Genomic DNA, 23,495 nt, shown 5'->3' with positions numbered 1-23,495 from the left:
TCAAGGGAAGGGAAATGATGAATATTAATTATGGCATCACGTATGGTGTCAGGATTAACCATAACACTGGAGAATGTAGCTTATCTCACCAACCTTCCTGTTAGTATTCTTACTGTCTCTGTCTTTTTTTCTTTTTCATTTTTAGTAGAGACAGGGTTTCACCTCATCAACCATCCTGGTCTCGAACTTCTGGCCTCAAGTGATCCACCTGCCTTGGACTCCCAAAGTGCTGGATTTACAGGTGCGAGCCACCAGACACCTGGCCTAAACACCTTTCTTTTCTTTTCTTTTTTCTTTTTTTTTTTTTTGAGATGGAGTCTCACTGTATTGCCCAGGCTGAAGTGCAGTGGTGCGATAGCTCACTGAAACCTCCACCTCCCAGGTTCAAGTGATTCTTCTGTCTCAGCCTCCCGAGTAGCTATGACTACAGGCATGCGCCAGCACACCCGGCTAATTTTTGTATTTTTAGTAGAGGTGGGGTTTCAACAAATTGGCCAGGCTGGTCTCGAACTCCTGACCTCATAATCTGCCCACCTCGGCCTCCCAACGTGCTGGGATTACAGAAGTGAGCCACCACGCCTGGCCTTTATTATTATTATTTTTATACTTTAGGTTCTGGGATACATATGCAGAATGTGCAGGTTTGTTATATAGGTATACATGTGCCATGGTGGTTTGCTGCACCCATCAACCCATCATCTGCATTAGGTATTTCTCCTAATGCTATCCCTTCCCTGGCCCCCCACCCTCTGACAGGCCCCAATGTGTGATGTTCCCCTCTCTGTGTCCATGTGTTCTCATTGTTCAACTCCCACTTATGAGTGAGAACATGCAGTGTTTGGTTTGGTTTTCTGTTCCTGTGTTAGTTTGCTGAGAATGATGGTTTCCAGCTTCATCCATATCCCCGAAAAGGACATGAACTATCCTTTTTTATGGCTTCATTGTATTCCGTGGTATATATGTGCCACATTTTCTTTATCCAGTCTATCATTGATGGGCATTTGGGTTGGTTCCAAGTCTTTGCTATTGGGAATAGTGCTGCAATAAACATACGTGTGGATATGTCTTTATAGTAGAATGATTTATAATCTTTTGGGTATATGCCCAGTAATGGGATTGCTGGGTCAAATGGTATTTCTGGTTCTAGATCTTTGAAGAATCACCACACTGTCGTCCACAATGGTTGAACTAATTTACACTCCCACCAACAGTGTAAAAGTGTTCCTATTTCTCCACATCCTCTCCAGCATCCGTTGTTTCCTGAATTTTTAATGATCACCATTCTAACTGGCATTAGATGGTATCTCATTGTGGTTTTGATTTGCATTTCTCTAATGACCTGTGATGATGAGCTTTTATTCATATGTTTGTTGGTCTCATAAATGTCTTCTTTTGAGAAGTGTCTGTTCATATCCTTTGCCCACTTTTTGTTGGGGTTGTTTTTTTCTTGTAAATATGTTTAAGTTGTTTGTAGATTCTGAATATTAACCCTTTGTCAGATGGATAAATTGCAAAAATTTACTCCCATTCTGTAGGTTGCCTGTTCACTCTGATGATAGTTTCTTTTGCTGTGCAGAAGCTCTTTAGTTTGATTAGATCCCATTTGTCAATTTTGGCTTTTGTTGCCATTGCTTTTGGTGTTTTAGACATGAAGTCTTTGCCCATGCCTATGTCCTGAATGGAGTTGCCTAGGTTTTCTTCTAGGGTTTTTATGGTTTTAGGTCTTACATTTAAGTCACTAATCCATCTTGAGTTAATTTTTGTGTAAGGTGTAAGGAAGGGGTCCAATTTCAGTTTTCTGCATGTGGCTAGCCAGTTTTCCTAACACCATTTATTAAATAGGGAATCCTTTCCGCATGGCTTGTTTTTGTCAGATTTGTCAAAGAGCCAGGTTTTAGATGTGTAATGTTTTTCCTGAGGCCTCTGTTCTATATATCTGTTTTGGTACCAGTACCATGCTGTTTTGGTCATTGTAGCCTTGTAGTATAGTTTGAGGAGCAACACTAAGACACATAATCATCAGATTGACCAAGGTTGAAATTAAGGAAAAAATGTTAAGGGCAGCCAGAGAGAAAGGTCAGGTTACCCACAGAGGGAAACCCATCAGACTAACAGCGCATCTCCCTGCAGAAACCCTACAAGCCAGAAGAGAGTAGGGGCCAATACTCAACATTCTTAAAGAAAAGAATTTTCAAACCAGAATTTCATTTCCAGCCAAACTAAGATTCATAAGCAAAGGAGAAATAAAATCCTTTAGAGACAAGGCAAATGCTGAGAGATTTTGTCACCACCACGCCTGCTTTACAAGAGCTCCTGAAGAAAGCCTAAATATGGAAAGGAAAAGCTGGTACCAGCAAAAACATACCAAATTGTAAAGACCATCGACACTATGAAGAAACTGCATCAACTACCAGGCAAAATAACCAGCTAGCATCATAATGACAGGATCAAATTCACACATAACAATATTTACCTTAAATGTAAATGGGCTACATGCCCCAATTAAAAGTCACAAACTGGCAAATTGGATAAAGAGTCAAGACCCATCAGTGTGCTGTATTCAGGAGACCCATCTCATGTGCAGAGACACACATAGGCTCAAAATAAAGGGATGGAGGAATATTTACCAAGCAAATGGAAAGCAAAAACAAAACAAAAAAACAAACAAAAACAAAAACCGGGTTGCAATCCTAGTGTCTGATAAAACAGATTTTAAACCAACAAATATCAAAAAAGACAAAGAAGGGCATTACATAATGGTAAAGGGATCAATGCAAAAGAAGAGCTAACTATCCTAAATATATATGCATCCAATACAGGAACACCCAGATTTATAAAGCAAGCTCTTAGAGACCTACAAAGAGACTTAGGCTCCCACACAATAAGAGTGGGAGACTTTAACACCCACTATCAATATTAGACAGATCAATGAGACAGAAAATTAACAAGGATATTCAGGACTTGAACTCAGCTTTGGACCAAGTGAACCTAATAGACATCTAGAGAACTCTCCACCCCAAATCAATAGTATATACATTCTTCTTAGCACCACGTTGCACTTATTCTAAAATTGATCATATAATTGGAAGTAAAACACTCCTCAGCAAATGCAAAAGAATGGAAATCTTAACAAACAAGTCTCTCAGACCACAGTGCAATCAAATTAGAACTCAGGATTGAGAAACTCACTCAAAATTGCACAACTACATGAAAACTGAACAACCTGCTCCTGAATAACTACTGGGTAAAAAACGAAATTAAGGTAGAAATAAATAAGTTATTTGAAACCAATGAGAACAAAGACACAATAGACCAGAATCTCTGGGACATGGCTAAAGCAGTGTTTAGAGGGAAATTTATAGCACTAAATGCCCACAGGAGAAAGTGGGAAACATCTAAAACTGACACCCTAAAATCACAATTAAAAGAACTAGAGAAGCAGCAACAAACAAATTCAAAAGCTAGCAGAAGACAAAAAATAACTAAGATCAGAGCAGAACCGAAGGAGATAGAGACACAAAACCCCTTCAAACGAATGAATCCAGGAGGTATTTTTTTTTTTGAAAAGATTAACAATTTTCTTAACAACAGTGAGAGGTAGTTTGTCATGAAATAATACATGTAAAACACTTAGTATAGTGCTAAAACATAACAAGTAATCAATACATGTAGATATTATGATACTACTATGCTTATTTTTAAAATTGAAGAAGTAGTATAAGCAAAGCTATTAGGTAAAAAATGGTAGATATTTTTGGATGTGTCAAATATGGGACCCTAGGGTAAATCAATAGAAATGCAAAGTTGATTAGCAGTCACCTAGGCTTCGGAGGGTTTCATGGATGACAGATAAAGCCTATGGGTTTTCTTTGGGGGATGAGAAAAATGTTCTCAAATTCATTCTGGTTATAGTTACACAACATGAATATACTAAAATCCACTGAATGCTATACTTTAAATGGGCAAAATCTGTGGTATGCAAATAAAAAATAAAGCTGTGATAAGAAAAAAAAGTGGAACCACAGGAAAAAGCAGTATAAAACTATTGTTTCCCTTGATGCATCACTTTAGCTTAACGATGGTGTGTAGTCCTGGTGTTTGTTATTCCACGGGAGGGAATTTTAGAGTGTGCCTCTTTATCGCTGCTCTTCTCTGTCTAGTACTTCATCACTTCTGAATTCATGACTTGCTCTCAGATGTTCCAACTAGCATTTTGTATGAATTTAAACTTGGCTGCATCTGAGCTGTTTCTGTCTTAAAACATTGGCTTCTTGGAATTCCCAAGCAACCGGAAAATTTCCCAATATTGGAAAAGAAAAGATCATGAAAAATCCTAATAAAAACGGTCAGAAATGCTGATAAACTAAACAAAGTAAGTCTTGAAGACAAGGGTAAAATGCCTTTAGGAAGTGTGTCCAAAACTGTTCACTGCATTGATGAGTCTGAAATTTTCCATATCATCAAGCTAATTTATTTTCTTCAATTTGACTGACTTTTAGAATATCAACCTCCAGGCACAGGCAGTATATACCTAAATGCAGTGTACTCACTGAAACTGTAATGGTAGACATAAGACTCTGGAATTTAAAATTCCAGATGACCCAGGTCATGCTTTATATTAGAACAAAATTGTCTTTCAAAGAGCTCAAAGAAACTTTATGAAAGTGTGTTTTTTTTGTAAATATCAAATATGAGAAAGTTGCTATTACTTGTAATAAAATACAATGTTTTCTATTTTGTCTTGAACTGAACTTTGAAGAAGTTACCTTATGCCAGATGTGTAACATAAATTTGTATTCATTGGACTCCTTAATCAAATAGCTATCAATTCGCTGCTCTGAGCAAGTTGTTGTGTTTGGTGCATTAAGTAAGTCACTTGTCAAGATCTCTAGCAAAATGCATAGTGCTTAATATATGTTAGTTTCTTTTTTTTCTCTCTGTGATAGCTGTTGCCATGGAAACCAGAAATAAAAAAGTCACGGGTCTCTGCTCTTTAAGTCTACAGTTTCATTGGGGGAAGGGAGAGTGGGTTAATAAGAGGCAAAAGATACAGTTGAGGATCAAGAAAAGAAGACTGTTTCTGTTTCCACTGCATGACATTCTGCATTTTATTTTATCATTATAATAAATGTTAGAAGCTATAATTCATTGTTCAGATCAGGTATTATATCTTTTCAAAACATAATGTCATTTAATCATCATTACTACCTCTATTGGGAGGTATGATTACACATTTTATAGATAAGAAAACATTGTTAGAAATAAAAGATCTACATGTATCATGTGATTCTGGCAGGATTTCTTGTCAGTGCATCTGCTCTTCTGGCCACAATGGGCTAATCAGAGTACTTCATTCTTCGTGGCTCAAGTGACAGGTCTAGAGGTGTGCTTGTGATCCAAGCTGAACTATGCAGGGTCTTTGGCTGTGCCTTTTTTCCAATTCTTTAGAAAAGGGGCTTGTAGGAAATGGCCATGATTTTCTCACCCCATGTGACAGCTGGGTGAACACATAACCTATACATAGAATCAAGCAGTTAAGAAAAAGAAAGGCAGGGAGAAATGAAGATCCCATCTGAATCTCTTAGTTTAACTGTGTATAAGTCCTGATTTAACCTTTAACTTCCTAGTTACAAGAGGCAATAAATTCCTCTTTGGTTTTGTTGTTGTTCATTTGTTCAGAACAGATTGCATTGATTTTTCTATAACTCAAACATTCCTGACTAATATAGCCATAGATTTGTATAGGTATTGGCAGCTTTACTTCAAGTATTCTGCTAGTAAAAAGTATATAAAGACATGGCCGATGGAGGAAAAGATGCTAATCCAAGTGAAACAGTCAGCAGCCCAGAAATAAAAAGATAATGACAAGTGGCTTATAGAATAAAAATAAAGCACATGAATACTTTTTTGGAATAAATAATGTTGTTAAATTACTATAGAGGAAGGTGTAATAGAGGAAGGTGTATATTAATTTATATACATGTGATGTTATTTACATTATAAATTAATATGAAAATGCTTTAATCAGAGTGTGTTTCCATACAAGAATCAGGAGGTAAATATTATTAAAAATCTGTAAAGTAAGGTCTGGAAATTTCTAGAGAAGAGAGAATATTGAGAGTAATCAAAGAAGGATGGAAAATAAAAATTTTGTGAAAGTGCAAAATAATATGGGGCCATGGAGTCTCCCAGAAGCAGCATGAGAAGGGATTTGATAAATGATTTAAATACTGATTAATTTTGAGAAGAGTGATATTGAGCTATTCTCTTTGGCAAAGGAAACAAATATTGAGAGGACAAAGGATAAGCAAGGTTCATAAATGCTTTGTTTGGCCCTAACCACAAAAAGAATTACAGTGAGTTTATGGAGAGACACAATCATTTGAATATGACAAGTAAATGAAATAGTGCTCAATCACAGGCACTGAAAAATCATCATGAATTGGTATTTAAAATACTGTTTATTTAGTGCCCACTTTGTGCCAACTACTGTACACATGCTGCTTAGTCACAGCAACACCACAAGATAATCATTAACCTGATTTGAGAGATGAAGAAATTATAAAGCTCAGAGATCTTTAGCAACTATTTCAAGGTTCACATAGCTAGAAAGTGACTGAGCCAGTAGTCAAACTCAAGACTGGCTGGCTCAAAAGATTTTGTTTTACCATGACTCAAATGACACATTTCAATCTGCCTCTATCTGACCATATTTTCATATGACCATAGTTTAGATGGCACCAATTTTCAAGATTATGTATTTATTTTGTGTAAACATCAGTTAAGTTTCAGTAAGGGACAGACATGCAGTAAATTGAATAAGGGACATTTAACGTAAGAAAATAACTAGTAAAAGGAGATCAATTAAGAAGGATTGGTTAAAGAGAACGCTAAAGAATCCAGGAATAGCAAATGCCGGGAAAAGCCGCCACTTCTATGGCTGAGGGAGCGCATCCAAAGAGGGAAAAAACTTGGCAGATCCTCCCCAACTTCCCACCCCTTGCTTCAAGTTGAGATTCAGACTTTGTTGGAGAAAGTGTTGCCAAAGCCCACCAGATAGGGGAAAAGTTCAGTTAGGTGCCTCATGCCAGGGCAGATGATCAGGAAACCACTCTCTGGGAAATCACTGAAACTCACTGGGGGTTGTGGACCGCTAGGTCTTCCACCCTCACTGACGACACCTTCTGGCAAGAAAGCTGGCTGCTGGTAAGGAAGGACACTTGTCTTCTGGCAGCACACCATAGAAGCCAGAAAAAAAGCACTGACTCTGGTAAGAGAATCCCCTCCCTCCTGCAGGATCTCACTAGCACCCTCTACTGACAAGGCTTTACATTGTGCCTACTGGCAAAGGAGAAATGTTTGCAAGGTTTCCCTTTGGAATTTAAAACTAAGGAAAAGAGGGTGGCTTTGGAGCAGAGAAGCAATGAATTGAAAACTGGCACAGTGTATTAATTAGAGTAAGCCATGATAACTGCAGGAACAACTCCAAAGTTTCAATGGCTTAGTATAATAAAGGATTCCTTCTCACTTAAAGCGTGATCTGGTGCTAGTCAGGTGACTCTATAAAGCTACTGTTCTATAAATAGAAACTCAACTATTTAGACGCCTTGTCTTGTGTGGCTCCACTACCTTGGAGCCCTTTGTTTCTGTAAACAAACGGGAGAGAGACAGAATATATAAGATTAGAGGCATGGTTTAAAGCCAATCCGATAAGGTGTATATGTAATTTGCCCACATTGTGCTGACCAGAACATAGTCAGAAGACTCTACTTTTATGAGAAACTGGGAAATGTACTAGAGAAAAATGAAATAGACAGTAAACATGTAGCCTTATCTCTGACACACTAGATTTCAAATGCTTGTCAATAAGTTTAAGTTATCATATGTCTCAGAGTCTTAATTCATCTATAATATAAAAAATAAGATGTCTACTTCAAAATAACACTATGGTATTTAGAGCAATATTATGTAAAGAATTAAACAACAGAGCCACTACATACTTAGACATTCAGTAAATATTAAATTTCCTAAATCAGTAATTATCAAGGGTGAAAAAAGAAATAGGATATATGTCAAAATCTCAAGGTTAAATTACAGCACGCATTTACAAAGGGAAGGGCATGGCAGATGGGATTATATATAGGAGGAAATGGAAAGGGCACTCTGTGGAATGACATATCAGAATCTAGTGTTTGTGAAACTAATGAGGGAAGGGAGGAGACGGGAGTAACAATGTAATATTTATTAGAAGAGAGTGGGTTAAGAAAGATTGAGAAACTGCTGTAAATGCTTGTTAGGTACTTGCCTGAGATGCGTGCAAGCCTGTATCATCATGCCTATTTGACTTAACTCATAGGCTGGAGAGGAAGTTTCAGAGCAAGGGAGTTTGTCTGAAATGACACTGCCTACATTCAAATCCTAGCATTATTACTTAATATTCATGCTTTCTTGAGCAATCTCCTTAACATCTCTGTGGCAGAGACTGCTGGTTGCCACCTAATAACTTTTTCTCCTTCTTACGTGAATATATACTTTTTAGCTGGGTATTTGAACTCTCAGCTAAATAGTACACTTCAGTGTCCCTTGCAGATGAGTATAGCCATGTGATTAAATTGTGGTCAATGTGAAATCAACAGAAATTGTGTGCAATTCCTGAGCTTTTTCCTTCAATGAAAAGAAAGTATTGCCCATATTCCTTTGGAATGTCGACATGAAGCTGAGAGCTAGAGCAGTCATCTGGAACTGCAAAGTGGAAGCCTCACTGAGAATGAAAGAGTAAAAAGATAGAAGGGTTCAGGTCCCAGATAATGGTGAGTTGCCCTACCAACAGTGGACTACCTGCTTGAATATTTTAGGATAGAGGAAAAAACATTATATCCTATTGAAGCTATGGTATTGGAGGTGTCTGATACAACCTGGCATGTATCCTGAGTAAAACCTAATCCTCTGGTTTTATAATCTGCAAAATTGGTATGTTAATAGTAGAGTCATACATCCTGGTTCTTGTTAAGATTGACAACAATGATAACAATAGCAATATCAGATGCTTATGTAGCCCTCACTCTGTGCCTGGCACAGTCCTAAGAGCTTTACTTGTGCGTACCATACAGATATTTGCTGTCATCGTTTTTCTACTTTCTCCAGGATCTCCAAGGTAACCATTCCAATTCCTCTTTCACTCTTTCTTCACTAAATGCCACTAGAATTACAATTAATATTCAGTGTATATTTCTATATGGAAAGCAGTATAAATATGTTAATAGTATATAAATATAATAGTGTAATTATAAATAGAGATTATATAATTTGAATAACATAATTATGTATATTATTACTTTTATGTGTTGGTTACTTAAAACCAGCTGTTGATAATATTATTATCAACTTTGTGGTCATGAAAATCAAAAACATTTTTTATAGTGTGAAACAGAAACCGTGTCTTTATAACATATTTCCTCTTACAACAAATATAAAATATGCATATTAAATAAAATACATAAAATGAATGCAAAATTCATGAGTGATACACTATTCACATTAACCTGCCTTTTTGTCTGCCTAAATGGAATTGTATTTAACATGATGTCTTGGGACCTAATTTTTTTCTCTTTGTAATGAACATCTTTCTAATTCATCAAATATTTTTATACAGCGTAAATTTTGAAGGTGAATATAAATCATATTATATTAATATATACTGTGGTTTATTTAACCAAACCATGAATGCTGGATATCTATGTTGTTATAAATAATTTGCCTTTAAATGATGTTTCAAAGATAAATGTTTGTTTACTCAATTAATTCTTTGTAATAGATTCTTAGAAGTTAAATTGCTGAATCAAAGATTATGAAAAAATGTTAAGCCATGTGAATATTATTTTCAGAAAGCTTGTATTAATTTCCACTTCCGTCATTGATGTTTAAAAATATCCAAAGAGCACAGCAATTTATGACCATCTCTCCTACACCTACTTGTAACCATTGTGGATACCCAGCAGAAGGCCTTTCCAGGTGTGTGTTGGGGAGGGAGTGATAAATACATGAAGAGAAGGAAAACATTTGCAGACACCAAAAACCTGATGTCAGATTACAGCAATGTCATTTTCAATAGGAGAACAGATTAAACTTATATTTTAGTCTCCTCTTTCCTCCTTTTATTCAGTATCCTTGAGAAAGATCATCCTATTCCCTAGCAGTTGGGGAGAAGTACTATGACAGTAAAGATAAATGGTAAAGTAAAAAGTAAGTAAATGATAGGGTTTCCTAAGAACTATTTTGTCTACTTGAAATTATAACCTACAGGCTCCTACAAAACCTGCCTGTCCATAATATTTCTAAAATTAATGTCAAGTCTTTGTGTCTTGCAGTTTTAAAAATACATTTATTCTACCAAAGTGTTATTACAATTTTCAACAACTAATATGATCACCTTAGTTTGTTTTAAATCCGTGGCAATAAAATGTACTTTCCAAAATGCTATTGAGGTTTACACCTTAACTTTGCATAAACTATAATTCTAATAACAGAATGAATATAGCCATGAAAATTTTCCCCAGAAATGTTTAATAATCTATTTTAATCACAGCAGGGAGCCAGATTCTTTGATGGATTGGATTAGTGGAATATAAAATATGAAATACCAAGTACAATTGGACGATGAATTATAATATTAACATGCCATCGGAAAGACTTTCTTACATGATTTTCTTACAGTTTTACAGTTCCACACAATCTCACCACTCCCTCTTTTCTGGCACCCTTCAGGAATGCTAGCTAGGCTCCCTTAAAACGGCCATTCCACAAATGTTTTCGATTTATGTTGGCTGACCTTGAATCAGAATTTATGGCATCTGTCAGTATTGTACTATTCTTTTTCGTTGGATTTGGGTTAACAGGCGGGGGTGACTTTTCAACTTTTTAGGTGTTTTTAAAAATCTTTGTTGTTTTGTCTTTGTGTGTGTGTTTTATTGCTATTAAGGAAAACTATCAAAAATCACTCATGATTAAACACTTTTTCTAAGATGAGTCAAGTGCACTAGTGAGAAGGGAGGAGAGTAAAACAAGGGGTTTGATCTGTAACTGACTGTGAACAATCAGTTAAGATAACTCATTACCTTCAGACCAGCCTAAACACTTTCTGATAAAACTGGGAGAATGAAGTTCTTAATCATGGAATTCCTAAACAGGTTAAATGAGATAACCTATTTGAAGTATTTAGAAGAATCCTTGACATCTTGAACTGTGAAAATATTATTATATTAATAAATTATTATTTTAATATAAATTGAAATTTAAATATCACCAAGCGAAAGACATGCCTTGACCCTATGTACTAAGAGTGTGCTCTGTAACAATCATATATTTAGATTTAGAAAGATTTGACCCAACACTCTTGTCCTAGGAGGATATCAAATATCACTGGTGTTGGAGGTGGCTTAGCTAGGACATCTTAACATATTCTCCTACACACTAGACTCCCATGAGTAGGGCTATGTGTTTGGGTGAGGAGGTGTGCACATGACCACAAGTGCCCCCATGTTGTGCTTTAATTCAACTATGCTTATATTTCGGATTGATTTACTCCCCTTAGGAGATTCTAATTGATAACAATGGAATGTTAATGTGACTTAAAAATAATTTCCACTTGTATCTATTTGAAGTTCTCTTTCTCTCCCCTCGTTTTGATTTTCGGAGTGTCACATCAAGAAAACCTGTGAGACTTAAGAAGAGGTGATGAATTCTGTGAAAATTAAAAAAACAAAATAACATAACAAGGAAAGGGATTTCCTTGAGCTCTAGGGCATAAAAGTCATTAAATATTTAATGATAAGCCAGGCTTGATTTAAATCCCAAGAGTTCATTTTCACCATTTTATTGCATTTTTTACATATTATACATAATCAGTTTGCATAAGATAAAACTGCATAAATAAATTCCTCATTCTATTTCAATTACGTTTGATTTTTAAGGATCAAATATAGTTCTATTGGTTTTTAATAATTTTTAAAACAAACAGAAATGATTAAAGAGCTTTATTAGAAATAAAACAAACATATAAGAACACATTTTTATTTCCTTTGGTCCACTCTATGTCCAGTTAAAAATATACAAGATTTAGGATTTAATTAGCTTTTATAAAAAGAATCTGCTTTTCTTACTAAAAAATAATAGCAACAAAAAGAAAACAAAAAAATATTTTTCAGTATCATGCCTGGTATGAAGACCCAAAATGAAAATGGGCTATTTTTAAACAATGTAGGGTTTGTTTGGTTTTTCTGTACCTGGAGGAGATACCACAAGTATAAGCAACATATAGGATGCCTTCGCTATTATCTAATAAATCAAGGTTCTAATAAGAATAGCAAGTTCAAGTAAGCTGTAAAGCACACTTACAGCGTGGCCTTGGGTTTGTTTCACTGATTGAGTCTCAGAGGTGCTTCTGTAAGGCTTTAGTAAAATAGAAAATCCAACCTATTTTACACATTCTTTCAAAAAGTTATGTTGCATTAAAAACAGAGAATGGAAAGATCTTCAGGTTATTATCCCAGCACTCATTGTAGGAATGAAACTGAAGTTCAAGAATGTTCACTGGTGTTTATGAGGTCATGCAACTAGCTAAGATACAGAATATTGGCTAAAAGCCATATCTCCACTGTTCCACTAATATGTCCTGCTACTGAGAGAATGTTGGGTACTGGGCATTCTACTTACATTACTTTATTTAGTTGGCATAGCAAACCTGCAATATAGACTTAAGTTTTCTCTTAACAAATAAACACAGACTTAGAGAGGTTGAGTTACTTGCACAAGGTCACACAGAGTAAGGATGAATTCAAATCCTGTTCTGACCTTAGCATTTGTCTTTCTGGTACGCTGTCCCACCTCGTTCATAGCAGGCTCTCTATTCCATCGTCCTTTCTATTGTTGAAATATGTGTCCCTTTCCTGTTTGCTGTGTACCAAATTTCTGACAAGAAACCAGGAAGCCACCACCAAATAAGACTCTATTTATTTATTTATGTATTACTGCATCTCTACCTCAGCTGTTCTACAGTGGCTCAGAAGAGGCTCTGAAGCAATTCCGATGTTTAACCATTCCCCTTGATAAATCAAATCACAAGGACAGGTAATGGCTTCCTAGAGAGGCTGACTTTGGAAAGAAGAGAAGCATGAGCAGTAAAGTATTGATAAAGTGATACTCTTGTAAATTGGTAAATATGTATTTGTATTCAATTCTGAAATCCATCCATTTTACTGATAAGAAAACTAAGGTTCTGCAATAGTAATGAATTAAGACCTCTGTTTTCCAGAGACACAATCAGAACATATTGTCCTTTTTCAGAAGCCCTATCCTGTCCTTTTCTAGATTTTTAGGACTTCTACTTGTGTAGGAATTTCATAATACTTGGAGGAGGTACAGGTTGAGTATGAAAATGTAAAGCTAACAGGAAATTAAGGGATGAAGGAACTCGAATTCTTTCTGTAGTAGCGAATGAGTTTGGTCCTGGTGTCCTCAACATGTCCCTACTACAGCTCCTTTGTGAGTCACAAAGCTGAGGGCACCGCATGGCACACAATACTGTGAGGGGGTCAAAGCATCCTTGAAGCATCCTGGCTGTGTTTTGGGAGGGTTCCACTCTCTATTCTTGGTTACTCTTTCCTCTGTGTTTCTGCAGAACTACGCACAGGTATTACTCACAATCAAAGATTGTTCTAGGATCCAAACGCAGACTCAGGAATTTCTTCCTGACAGTTTATAAACTCTTTGGTGCACAGATGGAGTGCTTTGTTTCCTCTGTACTTAGCTCACAATCAGGTAGATGCTAAATGCTTGCTGGTTGTCTGATTGAATTTGCCCAAGCTTTGCATCTGGAGTTGGACTTGAAACATTCCATTTGCTATAAAGTAACAGGCACTTCATGGGGTATTTTGGGATATCCTAGAAAGCCCTGGGAAATAGGAATGGAAAGGAAAGTCTCTTGTCTATGTGCAAAACAAGGCCTGTTTTAATTTAGAGAGTCCAGTATTTGAGCTGTGTAGAAAATAAAAACATATGGGGATATAGATCTCTTTTTTTTCTTGTATAATTTCTCTTAAGAATTGTTTTTCTATTTAAAAATGTTCACAGGTAGAAGTGTCCATCAGCAGATGAATGGATAAAGAAATGTGTTTTTTTATTTTACAAAATAAAACAGATATGAAAAAAGAGTCCCCCCTCGCCCCTTCCATGACCACACCACTGAAATATTTACTCTGTTGACATTTTGACATAAGTTTCTAGAATATTTTCTGTTTATATTTTTTCTTTTATTTTTAAAATTTAAAAATATAGTGTGAAATTATATATGCATTCTTACCACAAATAGAATATTTTCTACATACAGAACATTTTAATAAAAACACACTGGCCCCTTTCTTGCTTGCTTTATTTCCTTCCATCATTCCTGCTTCCTTTCTTTTTTTCTTTGTTTTTGTTGTTAAAGAATTATTTCTTCAAATATAACTCATTTATCAACAACTTAGCACTGTTGAGATTGCTGCAGATAAAGCAGTGTATAAAGCAAAGGCCCTGCTCTCATGTAAGTTTCACTGGTCTACGTGACCATCTACAAATATATATATAATATGTTAGGTGTTAATGAGTTTTGCAGAGAAAGGTAGACACGTAAGAGGGAGAGACAGTGATTGTTGGGGTGCTATTTTATGCAGGATAGCCAAAGGAATCTTCTATGTGGAGATGACAATTGAGCAGAGAACCGGGGGAATTGAGTAACCAAGCTATGAAAATATCTGAGAGAAAAAAACAATTATAGACAGAACAGGAAATGTGAAGGCCCTGAGGGAGGAACATGCTTGGGGTTTCCAAGGAACTGTAAAGAGGTCAATGTGACCTGAAGACACTGAGCTAGGGAGAATAAAGTGAATGAAATAAGAAAGGTATTGGGGAGGGTAAAGATGATGTAGGATTTCTTATTTTGATCTTTAATTGGAATAAAATGGGGAAGCATTAGAAGATACTGAGAAGAGGAGTGGAATTATATAACCGAAATTTTAAGAGGGCCACTGTTGGATGTTGTGTAAAGAAGAGTTTACAGGGGTCAGAGGTAGAAGCAGAAATGCCAGATAGGAGACTATTGCAATAATCCAAGCACACGATGATGCTGCCTTGAACCAGGGTAGCAGTGGATGAGGTGCTGAAAGTCACTGAGTGTTGACTCAAAAGCAGAACCAAAGCGATTTCCTGATAGATTGGATGTGAGGTGTGAGAGGAATTAAGGGCAATCCAAAGTTTTTGTCTTGAGTAACTGCAAAAGCTGTGAACAGAGTAGGAGGTATAACTGTGATGTTAGGGAGATCAAGAGTCAAATTTGGGGCTTGTTAAATTTGAGATACCAATTGGAGATAGGTAGTTGGACATATGATATATAATACTAGAGTTGAGAAGAAACATCAGGTTTAGTTAAAACTTTGGAATTCATCAGCTTATAGACAGTATTTAAAGTTATGGATAATGCAGAAAGTAAATATAAAGAGAAGAAAGAATTCAAGGATTGACTTCTGGGGTACTCAAACTTTAAATTTTGAAAAATAAGAAGGAATAGCATAGAAGAATGAAAGGAGTAGCCAGTCAGTAGGAGGAAAACAGAGTGACTTCCTAGAAGCCAAATGAGAATGTTTCAAGAAGACAGGAGCAACTACATCAAAGGCTGCTGATAGACTGAGAGGATGAGGACTGAGAAGATATCAGTGGGTCTATCAGTAGGTAATTACTGTAACTATGACAGAAGAGTTTCAGTAGAGAATAAGAGAATGAAGAGAGGAGGTACAAATGTGTAAATATAAACAATTCCCTTGCTTGGAAATGAAGCAGAGAAATGGGATTATGTCAGGAATGGTGTTGAGATAAATACAGAGCTTTCATTTTGTTCTGTATTTTTGCTTATATCTTGTGTGTTTTAGGATGGGAAATGTGTAGCATGTTTGCACAGTGAAAGATATAATCCAATAGACTGGGGAAGGGAGGTGAAAAATTAATGGTGCAAGAAAAAAGAAAGGTGATTATTGGAGTGATGTCTTTGAGTGAGAAAAGAGGATCTAGGGCATGAATGGAAGAATTGGCCATAGGCGAAATAATGTTTCTCCATAGTAACTGGTGGGAAGGCAGTGTATTGCTTTTGCTTTCTCAGTGGAATAAGAAGAGAGTGAGAGGAGAAAAGCAGATATTGAAGGTTCAAGAATAAATGAAAAGGTGTGAAATAATCTTCTAAGAAAGTAGGAAGATGAGTTGAAATATACATAAAGAAATATATAATTGCCTGCCAGCACAAAGAACACACTCGAAGTTGGCAGTTACAAATTTAAAGTGAGATCAAAAAGTATAGTTCTGCCTTTTGTTGCCAGTCATATTCTGCTATGCAGGCTCAGGTTAAAGTAGGTGGAAATTTAGATTCAACTTGAGTTGGTGATTTAATAAGAAAGTCTGATAGAGGGAAAGAGGGGTAAGGGATATGAGGACACATGTAAAAGAGTTCACATAATGTTTGACAAGAGAGTTAAGTGGATTAGGAGGAAAGTGGAGACATGAGGAGTTGAAGGACAGTAAAGTGGTGGTAAGATCAATCTATTGTAGGCACAGGTGGGATCAAAGGATTGTTTACAGAAAGCAAAACTTGTTCTTAATAATAGTCTAGGGTAGGCCTCAGAAATGAGTGGCAGAGGTAGTTGGCAGAACAAGATCATTAAAGAAGATGAGGCTTATGATATTAGAAAATTGATCCATGTGCCTATTGAAACTAGCAAAGAAAACACAGATGGACTTGGAGAGTGATGGCAAGCCATGTAATGGAATTTTTGAATAATTAGGGGGAAAGTAGCTGTGTATCTATCTAGGAATTGGAGAGAATAGTGGTATATTGGGAAAAGCACCAAATCTGGCTTCATTCACTGATTACTACTGATGTTGTGCGTATGTTCATGTATGTATTACCTATTGTACTCAGTATTTATTGAGTCTTCCAATGCTTTGGGGAGTGGAGCTGTCAACATGTGTAAAATGAAGATTCTGCCCAGGGAAAGACAGAAAACACATCATTAAAGCTGTGTCCTCTGTGACCCACTAGCCATGGAAGCAATGATGCAGGAGTGGCTCATTTTATTCAGGAGTTGGAGTACCCTTCTCAGATAAGTTAGCAAGGAGCCCTTTCGAAGATAAGTATATCTTTTAGAAAAAGTGGGTAGGACATCTGGCAGAGACAGGGAGCATGTGAAAATGAAGTAAGAGGTGAGGGAAGAGTTAATTGGCAAGTGTGGCAAGGTGCTTCATATGTAGGTAGAATAGAATCTGTCAGTGATGCTGGGGCTGAAAGATGGATTGAAGCCATCATAAGGGTGTGCTTTTTACTGTAAGTAGTTGGAGTCACTTTTGATTTTAAACAGGAGAGTGAACATCAGATCTAGATTTTAGAAAGCCCTTTCTGGCTGTAGTGTGGAAGATGGATTGAAAGCAGCAGTGGAGGTAGAATAACAAGTTAGGATACTGTTATAAACAATCCTGGTAAGAATTGGTAAAGATTTCAATGAACAAAAGGACTGGTTATGAGAGTATAAAATTGGAGAAGATATTAATTTTTTTTTTCAAACTATACAATTCGATGTATGTTAGTATGTTTATAAAATTGTCTCACAATCAGTTTTAGGTTGTTTTTATTACCCCTGAAATAAACTCTATAACCATTAGTAGTCACTTCCAATTGCCACCCTCCCAATGTCTGGCAAGCATTAATCTACATTTTTCTCTATGGATTTGCCTGTTCTGAACATTTCACATAAATCAAAATATAATGTTTATTGCAGATTGGATCAGAGGTAAACATTTTACCCAAAGTCATTCAGTCAGTATAGGCTATCCAAAAGTCTGTGAAGTTGCCTAGTGTGAAAACTCTGGCCATATGGACACACGGGGACTCACCAATCTGTATGCTTTCTCAATAAGCCAATCAGATTTTCTCTGAAGGAGTATAATAATCTTGAGAAATATACAGAGAAAGATGGTTAATTAGTTGTGCTTGGAACAAGGGAAACAAAATTATGTGGTCAACCATCGTGACAATGAAGCCCTAGAGCAGGCATCACCAGATATGATCATCTTGATACAGAATTTTTCCACACTTTATGAAGCCTGGCTGTGGGAAAGAAAGCCTTGCCTTCTTGTGTGATCTTATGTATCTTAGAATGAACTCTCATGTCTCTAGGCATCTTTTCCCAAACTTTATTCATTTTTATACTACCTCTGAAGTAGGCTTCTGAATAGAGTCTTTCAAATGTTAACTATTTTCTTTTGAAGGGTGTATCATGATTAGGGTACTTATATTAATTTACCATATCTAAAGTGAATATATATTTATATATTAGAAAATATATGTTTTATATATATACACTAGTTAAACCCATATACATAACATATTCTTTGACATGGTTCAGATATTTTGCACCCTTTAAATCTCATATTGAAATGTGACCTCAAATGCTGGAGATGGGTCTAGTGGGAGGTGTTTGGGTCATAGAAATGGATCTCTCATGAATGACTTGGTGCTGTACTCATAGTGGGAATGAGTGAGTTCTCACTCTATGAATTCATATGAGATCCAGTTGTTTAAAAGAGCCTGGCATCTATATCCTCTCTCTCTCTCTCTCTCTCTCTCTCTCTCTCTCTCTCTCTCTCTCTCTCTCTCTCTCTCTCTCTCTCTCTCTCTCTCTCTCTCTCTCTCTCTCCCTCCCTCTCTCTCTCTCTCTCTCTGCCTCCCTCTTGCCATGTGATACACCGGCCGTCTCCTTCACCTTCTTCCATGATTGTAAGCTCCCTGAGACTTACCACAAGTTGAGCACATTCTGGTGCTGAGGTAAGAGACTAGCAGGACTTGTTTTTTACTCACAACTCTGCTGACCAAAACAGGATCTAGTCCAGACAAAATAAAGTAAAGAAACTCAGTAGAAACCAGAATATGGCAACAAAAGTAATCCCTACCTCCCCTCATTGATCACTGCCATACGATGTTCCCAACAGCACCATGACAGTTTACAAATGTCATGACAATGACTTGGAAGCTACCACTGCTTTCCATGGCAATGACCCAAAAATTATTGCCTTTTTCTTCACAGTTCTAAATAACCTACCCCTCAATTTCCATTGACGTGCCTCTTCATTTGCATGTAATTGAAAGTGGGTTTACCAAGAGCCTCTACAGTTGCCAAGAGCTCATAAATTGGCTCTGGGCACACTACCTGTGAGTTAGCTGACCATAAAGAGCAGTACTGTTCAATAAAAGATTACTGTCTAACACTACCAGCTCTCACTTGAAATTTTTCCCAGCTAAAGCCAAGAACCCTCCCAGGCTAGCCCCAATGCTGGGGCTTGCCTGTCCTGCAACATTTGGTGACTACAAAGGAATGAAGATAGCATATGAAAGGCCATAACTGATGTGGTAGTGAGACAGCAAAATGGTCTTGATCCGCAAAGAGGCAAGACAATGAGAGACAGTGAGAAACAGTCAGATGGCAATCAGCGGTCTGTGGGATGGCAAGACAGCAAGAGGTGGTGATTGGTGAGATGGCGAGATGGAGAGATGGCAAGAGGTGGCAATTGGTGAGAGATGGTGAGAAGGTGATTAGTGCTACCAAGCTGTAACATTAGTCAAAGTCTCTTTCAAGAGCCGTCATCTGTTCTGGCAGAGTTGAGGGGAAGGGCATGTGGCCATAGTACCATCACCTCATGTGAGATCTGTCAATCCAGCCAGTAGGCTATCAGGTCACTGGTCCCTACATTGTAGTGAAGCCCACCTGGGCTGAGGGAACCTAGAGAGACCTTCACCCAGGTCCCACACAAAGATTCATTGGCATCATTTTGGCTCCTGTGGATGGGTGAATGTCCCTCCATCCCCTGCTCCCAATATTGGGTGAGCTAGGGAATAAAACTTCTGGCTAGGTGGTCAGTTTAAATTCTTACATCATTTGGGTAACCTGAAGCCTGTCCTTGTCACCCCTTCTCCTGGTCCTTTTTCTTGGACTTCATTTTATTGCTCCAGCACCCATTTTATTTTCAGTTCTAAAATGTATGTTTTGTTTGCAGTTCTGTTTTTCTTATTTGACTTTCTGTTAACTGTATTTGGGCAATTGTTTAAGGCAGGACACATGTTTGTGAAAGGCCCTTGTTATGTTGACTCTGAGATGCCAGAGTCATGTTGTTATATGGACCTAACCAGGCCTTTGGAGTTCACTATTGGCTGCCCCTCAGATGCTCCAGCATTTTGGCATTTGGTGTGGGGATCCTCCTTGGCTGATAGTTGAGCACTGTAGGTTTTTTGGCATTTGTTATTTTTGGCTGCCACTTGGGTGCTACCAGGTTTTTGGCACTGACATTTCCTCCAGAGCTGTGGGTTCTGGAGAACTGTGGGCCCACCCTAGGGTAATCTTAGTCTTGCCTTTTCTTGTTTTCTGCCCTAAAGTTATTCTCTGTAACAGATTTTTTTTTCTCATTGTTACTTTATTTACACTTTTCCTTCTATGCTTTAATAAAAATACTTCTTTTGTCCTATTTCATTCACTGGCAAACACTTATAATCCACTTTTGTAATGACTTGCTACCTATACTTACACCTTCTCTGTAGGAAATGAGAATCTAAAAGGGAAAAATTGCAAAGGCCCATTTGCTGTCTCTCTTGCTATACTTAGAAAAACTTCTGTGTCCAGTAAAAATCCTTGTCAGACATGGGGACAATGACTGGCATACCACAGGACTCACCATTAGGATATCCATCAGGCTACTGAAGCACATTCGAATTTGACTAAAGAAAAAGAAACTTATTTTCTATTGCAACACTGTTTGGATTCAATACAAATTAGAAAACTAAGAGATTTGGCCTAAAGACGCTTCTATTAATTATAACGCTATTTTACAATTATACTTATTCTGTGAAAAGGAAGGGAAATGAGAAGAGGACCCTTGTGTTCAGGCTTTTATGACCCTTTACTGGTTCATGGTACCTCTAGGAAACCATTCCTAAGGAATCTTCTCCTAGCTGCTCCCCCTAGAAGGCTAACACCCTCTCCAGAGTCTCTTTATAGTCCCCCAGTTCTGAGGTGGGTCCCACCCACAACCTAATGAAGGATTCCACCTCAAGATCATCAGGCACCAATCCCACTTATCCAACAAGCCACAGCCTATACCTTCTACTGACCAAGAAAGTAAGCCAAACCAGTACCACGAAGAATGGGGTTTCATATCAACCCTTAAAATCAAATCTGTGTCCATTGCGGGCGGTAGCTGATGAAAATGAGGTAAATCTTAGAGTTCATGTGCCGTTTTTTATGTGTGATTTGACTTTGTACGGGGAAAAATATGGCCAGTTTTCAGAGAAACCAGAAAAGTTCATAGAGAGGTTTTTTAAGTTGATCATGTTCTTTAACTTTTCATGACTTGCAAGTATTGTCAACTGCTTGCTGTGCCATGGCATAAAAAAACAGGAAAAAGTATGTGGCGAAGCCAGTCAATTGTAGCAAGGTTAGAGAAATACCTTAGGAAGAAGACAAGAATCCCACTCAGTTTCAGGGTCATTTGGTTGAGGCACTCAGGAAATATATTAATGCAGACCCAGACTCCCTAGAAGGGCACTCTCTTCTGGAAATTATTTTATTACTCAATCTGCCCCTGACATGAGGAGGAAGCTACAAAAAGCAGCATTGAAACCTCAGACTCCTATGAGCCAGCTCTTAAATGTAGCCTATAAAGTTTACACTAGGGACACTGCAAAGACGTGAAAAACAAAGCCAAAAGAAACAGCCAGAAAGTACAATTACTAATGGCTGCTTTAAGCCCCCTGCCACCTCAGGGTTGCCCAACAAGAGAGAGTGTCACAAGATCAGCATCTGGGATGTCAAGATGAGAGCCCCTGACATGCCAGCCTCTGCCCCTTATTCAATCTGCCCCTGACATGAGAAGGAAGGTATTTATTTGTTAAATTATCAGAAATGTTTCTTGTAATGTCATAAATAGTTTCTTTTGAAACTTCTTGGATTTGTATCTCAGAGATTTAACTGTTGTTGTGTCTTGCTGCTTTCATCTATTTTTCTCTATAAGAAGGATTATGATGATGTGTCTATCCTTTAGCTCTTTTTTTTTTGTCAGCTCCTGTGAGTTTTTCTCCTCCAACTCTATTATTGTAGCCTGATGCTAAAGCATTTTGTCTTAGACGTCTATGAGAGACATATTTTCCCCGATATATCTTGAGTCTATGGTTTTGGTTTTTCTTGATGTGTAACCTTATTTTTGGCTTTTACATTTTGACTCTCACATTGCTTTAAATAATTTAAAGGACTAATGATACCTGCCCACCTTCATTCTCATCTGGCCTAGAATGTTTAATTGGCCAAAGGGAATGTCAAAGACACCTAAAAAAAAAACTAACTCTGGTCGTGACAGGAAACCAGGGGTCAGACACACCTCACCATGCTCCCCCTTGAAATCTAAGCCAGATTTAAATGCCTTTCAAAAAATCATGAAATCAAAGTATTGCCCTTACCCACAAATGAAAATATAGCTCCCCTCTTCAGTTAGAAGACTTAGTCTTCATAAAATCTTTAAAAAAAGATCACCTGATGATTAATTACAACCAAAATAAAATGGCCCTTATCAGGTATTGTTAAGTACCCCTACTGCTGTTAAACTTCAGGTCATCACTAATTGGGTACAACTGTCCAGAGTTAAACTGTTTCTTATGAGTCCCTACAGGGATAAAAGAAGGACACCACAACCTGCATTTGAAAACCCTAGAAAACTTAAGTTTGTTGTTTTACAAATACATAGTTAAATAATTGATGCTGTGGGTGGACATAGTAGCATCAATTCTTCTCTTCTGCCTAATTGCAATTTACTTGTTTAACTTCCTAGTAAATTTTATATCTTCTAGATTCCACATAAAGATGATGCTAGCACAAAGCTTCCAATCCATCCTGTCTGCTGACATGGAAAATGAAAACATCCTACTGTTGGTCCCTTAGATCAGATATCTAGAGATTCACACACCTCCAATGCTAGGCAGGGCCTACACCCATAAAATTGACAAGAAGCTGTTACGGAAGATGGACCACCACCCTTTTTCAGCTCCTGTAATATTAAGGAGAAATATCTTACCTCCAAGTGGGAGATGAGGTAGGAGACCATAAGGACTTTTTTCTAGTCACAACCCTGCTGACCAAAACGGGATCTGGTCCAGACAGGATAAAGTGAAGAAACCATCAGGAACCAGCAAATGGTGATGAAAGCAATCCCTAGGTACTCTCATTGTTCACTGACATAAGACGCTCCCATTAGCACCATGACAGTTTGCAGTTGCTATGGTAAGAGCCAGAACTTACTGCCCCTTTTCTAGAAAAAATTTCGAAATGACCCACCTCTCAATTTGCATTGACATACCCCTTAATGTGCATGCAATTTAAATTGGG

The 23,495-nt window shown here is 37.3% G+C and overlaps 1 protein-coding gene across 2 annotated transcripts in view; it reads left to right on the top strand.

Moving 5' to 3' along the window:
* RAB38 (RAB38, member RAS oncogene family) overlaps window positions 1-23,495 on the top strand; it is a 371,729-nt gene that overhangs the window by 64,322 nt on the left and 283,912 nt on the right. The window lies entirely within an intron of this gene.

The sequence above is a fragment of the Homo sapiens genome, chromosome 11 (assembly GCF_000001405.40).
Source record: "Homo sapiens chromosome 11, GRCh38.p14 Primary Assembly".
Taxonomy (NCBI): Eukaryota; Metazoa; Chordata; class Mammalia; order Primates; family Hominidae; genus Homo; species Homo sapiens.
This window is presented reverse-complemented; position numbering and strand designations above follow the sequence as displayed.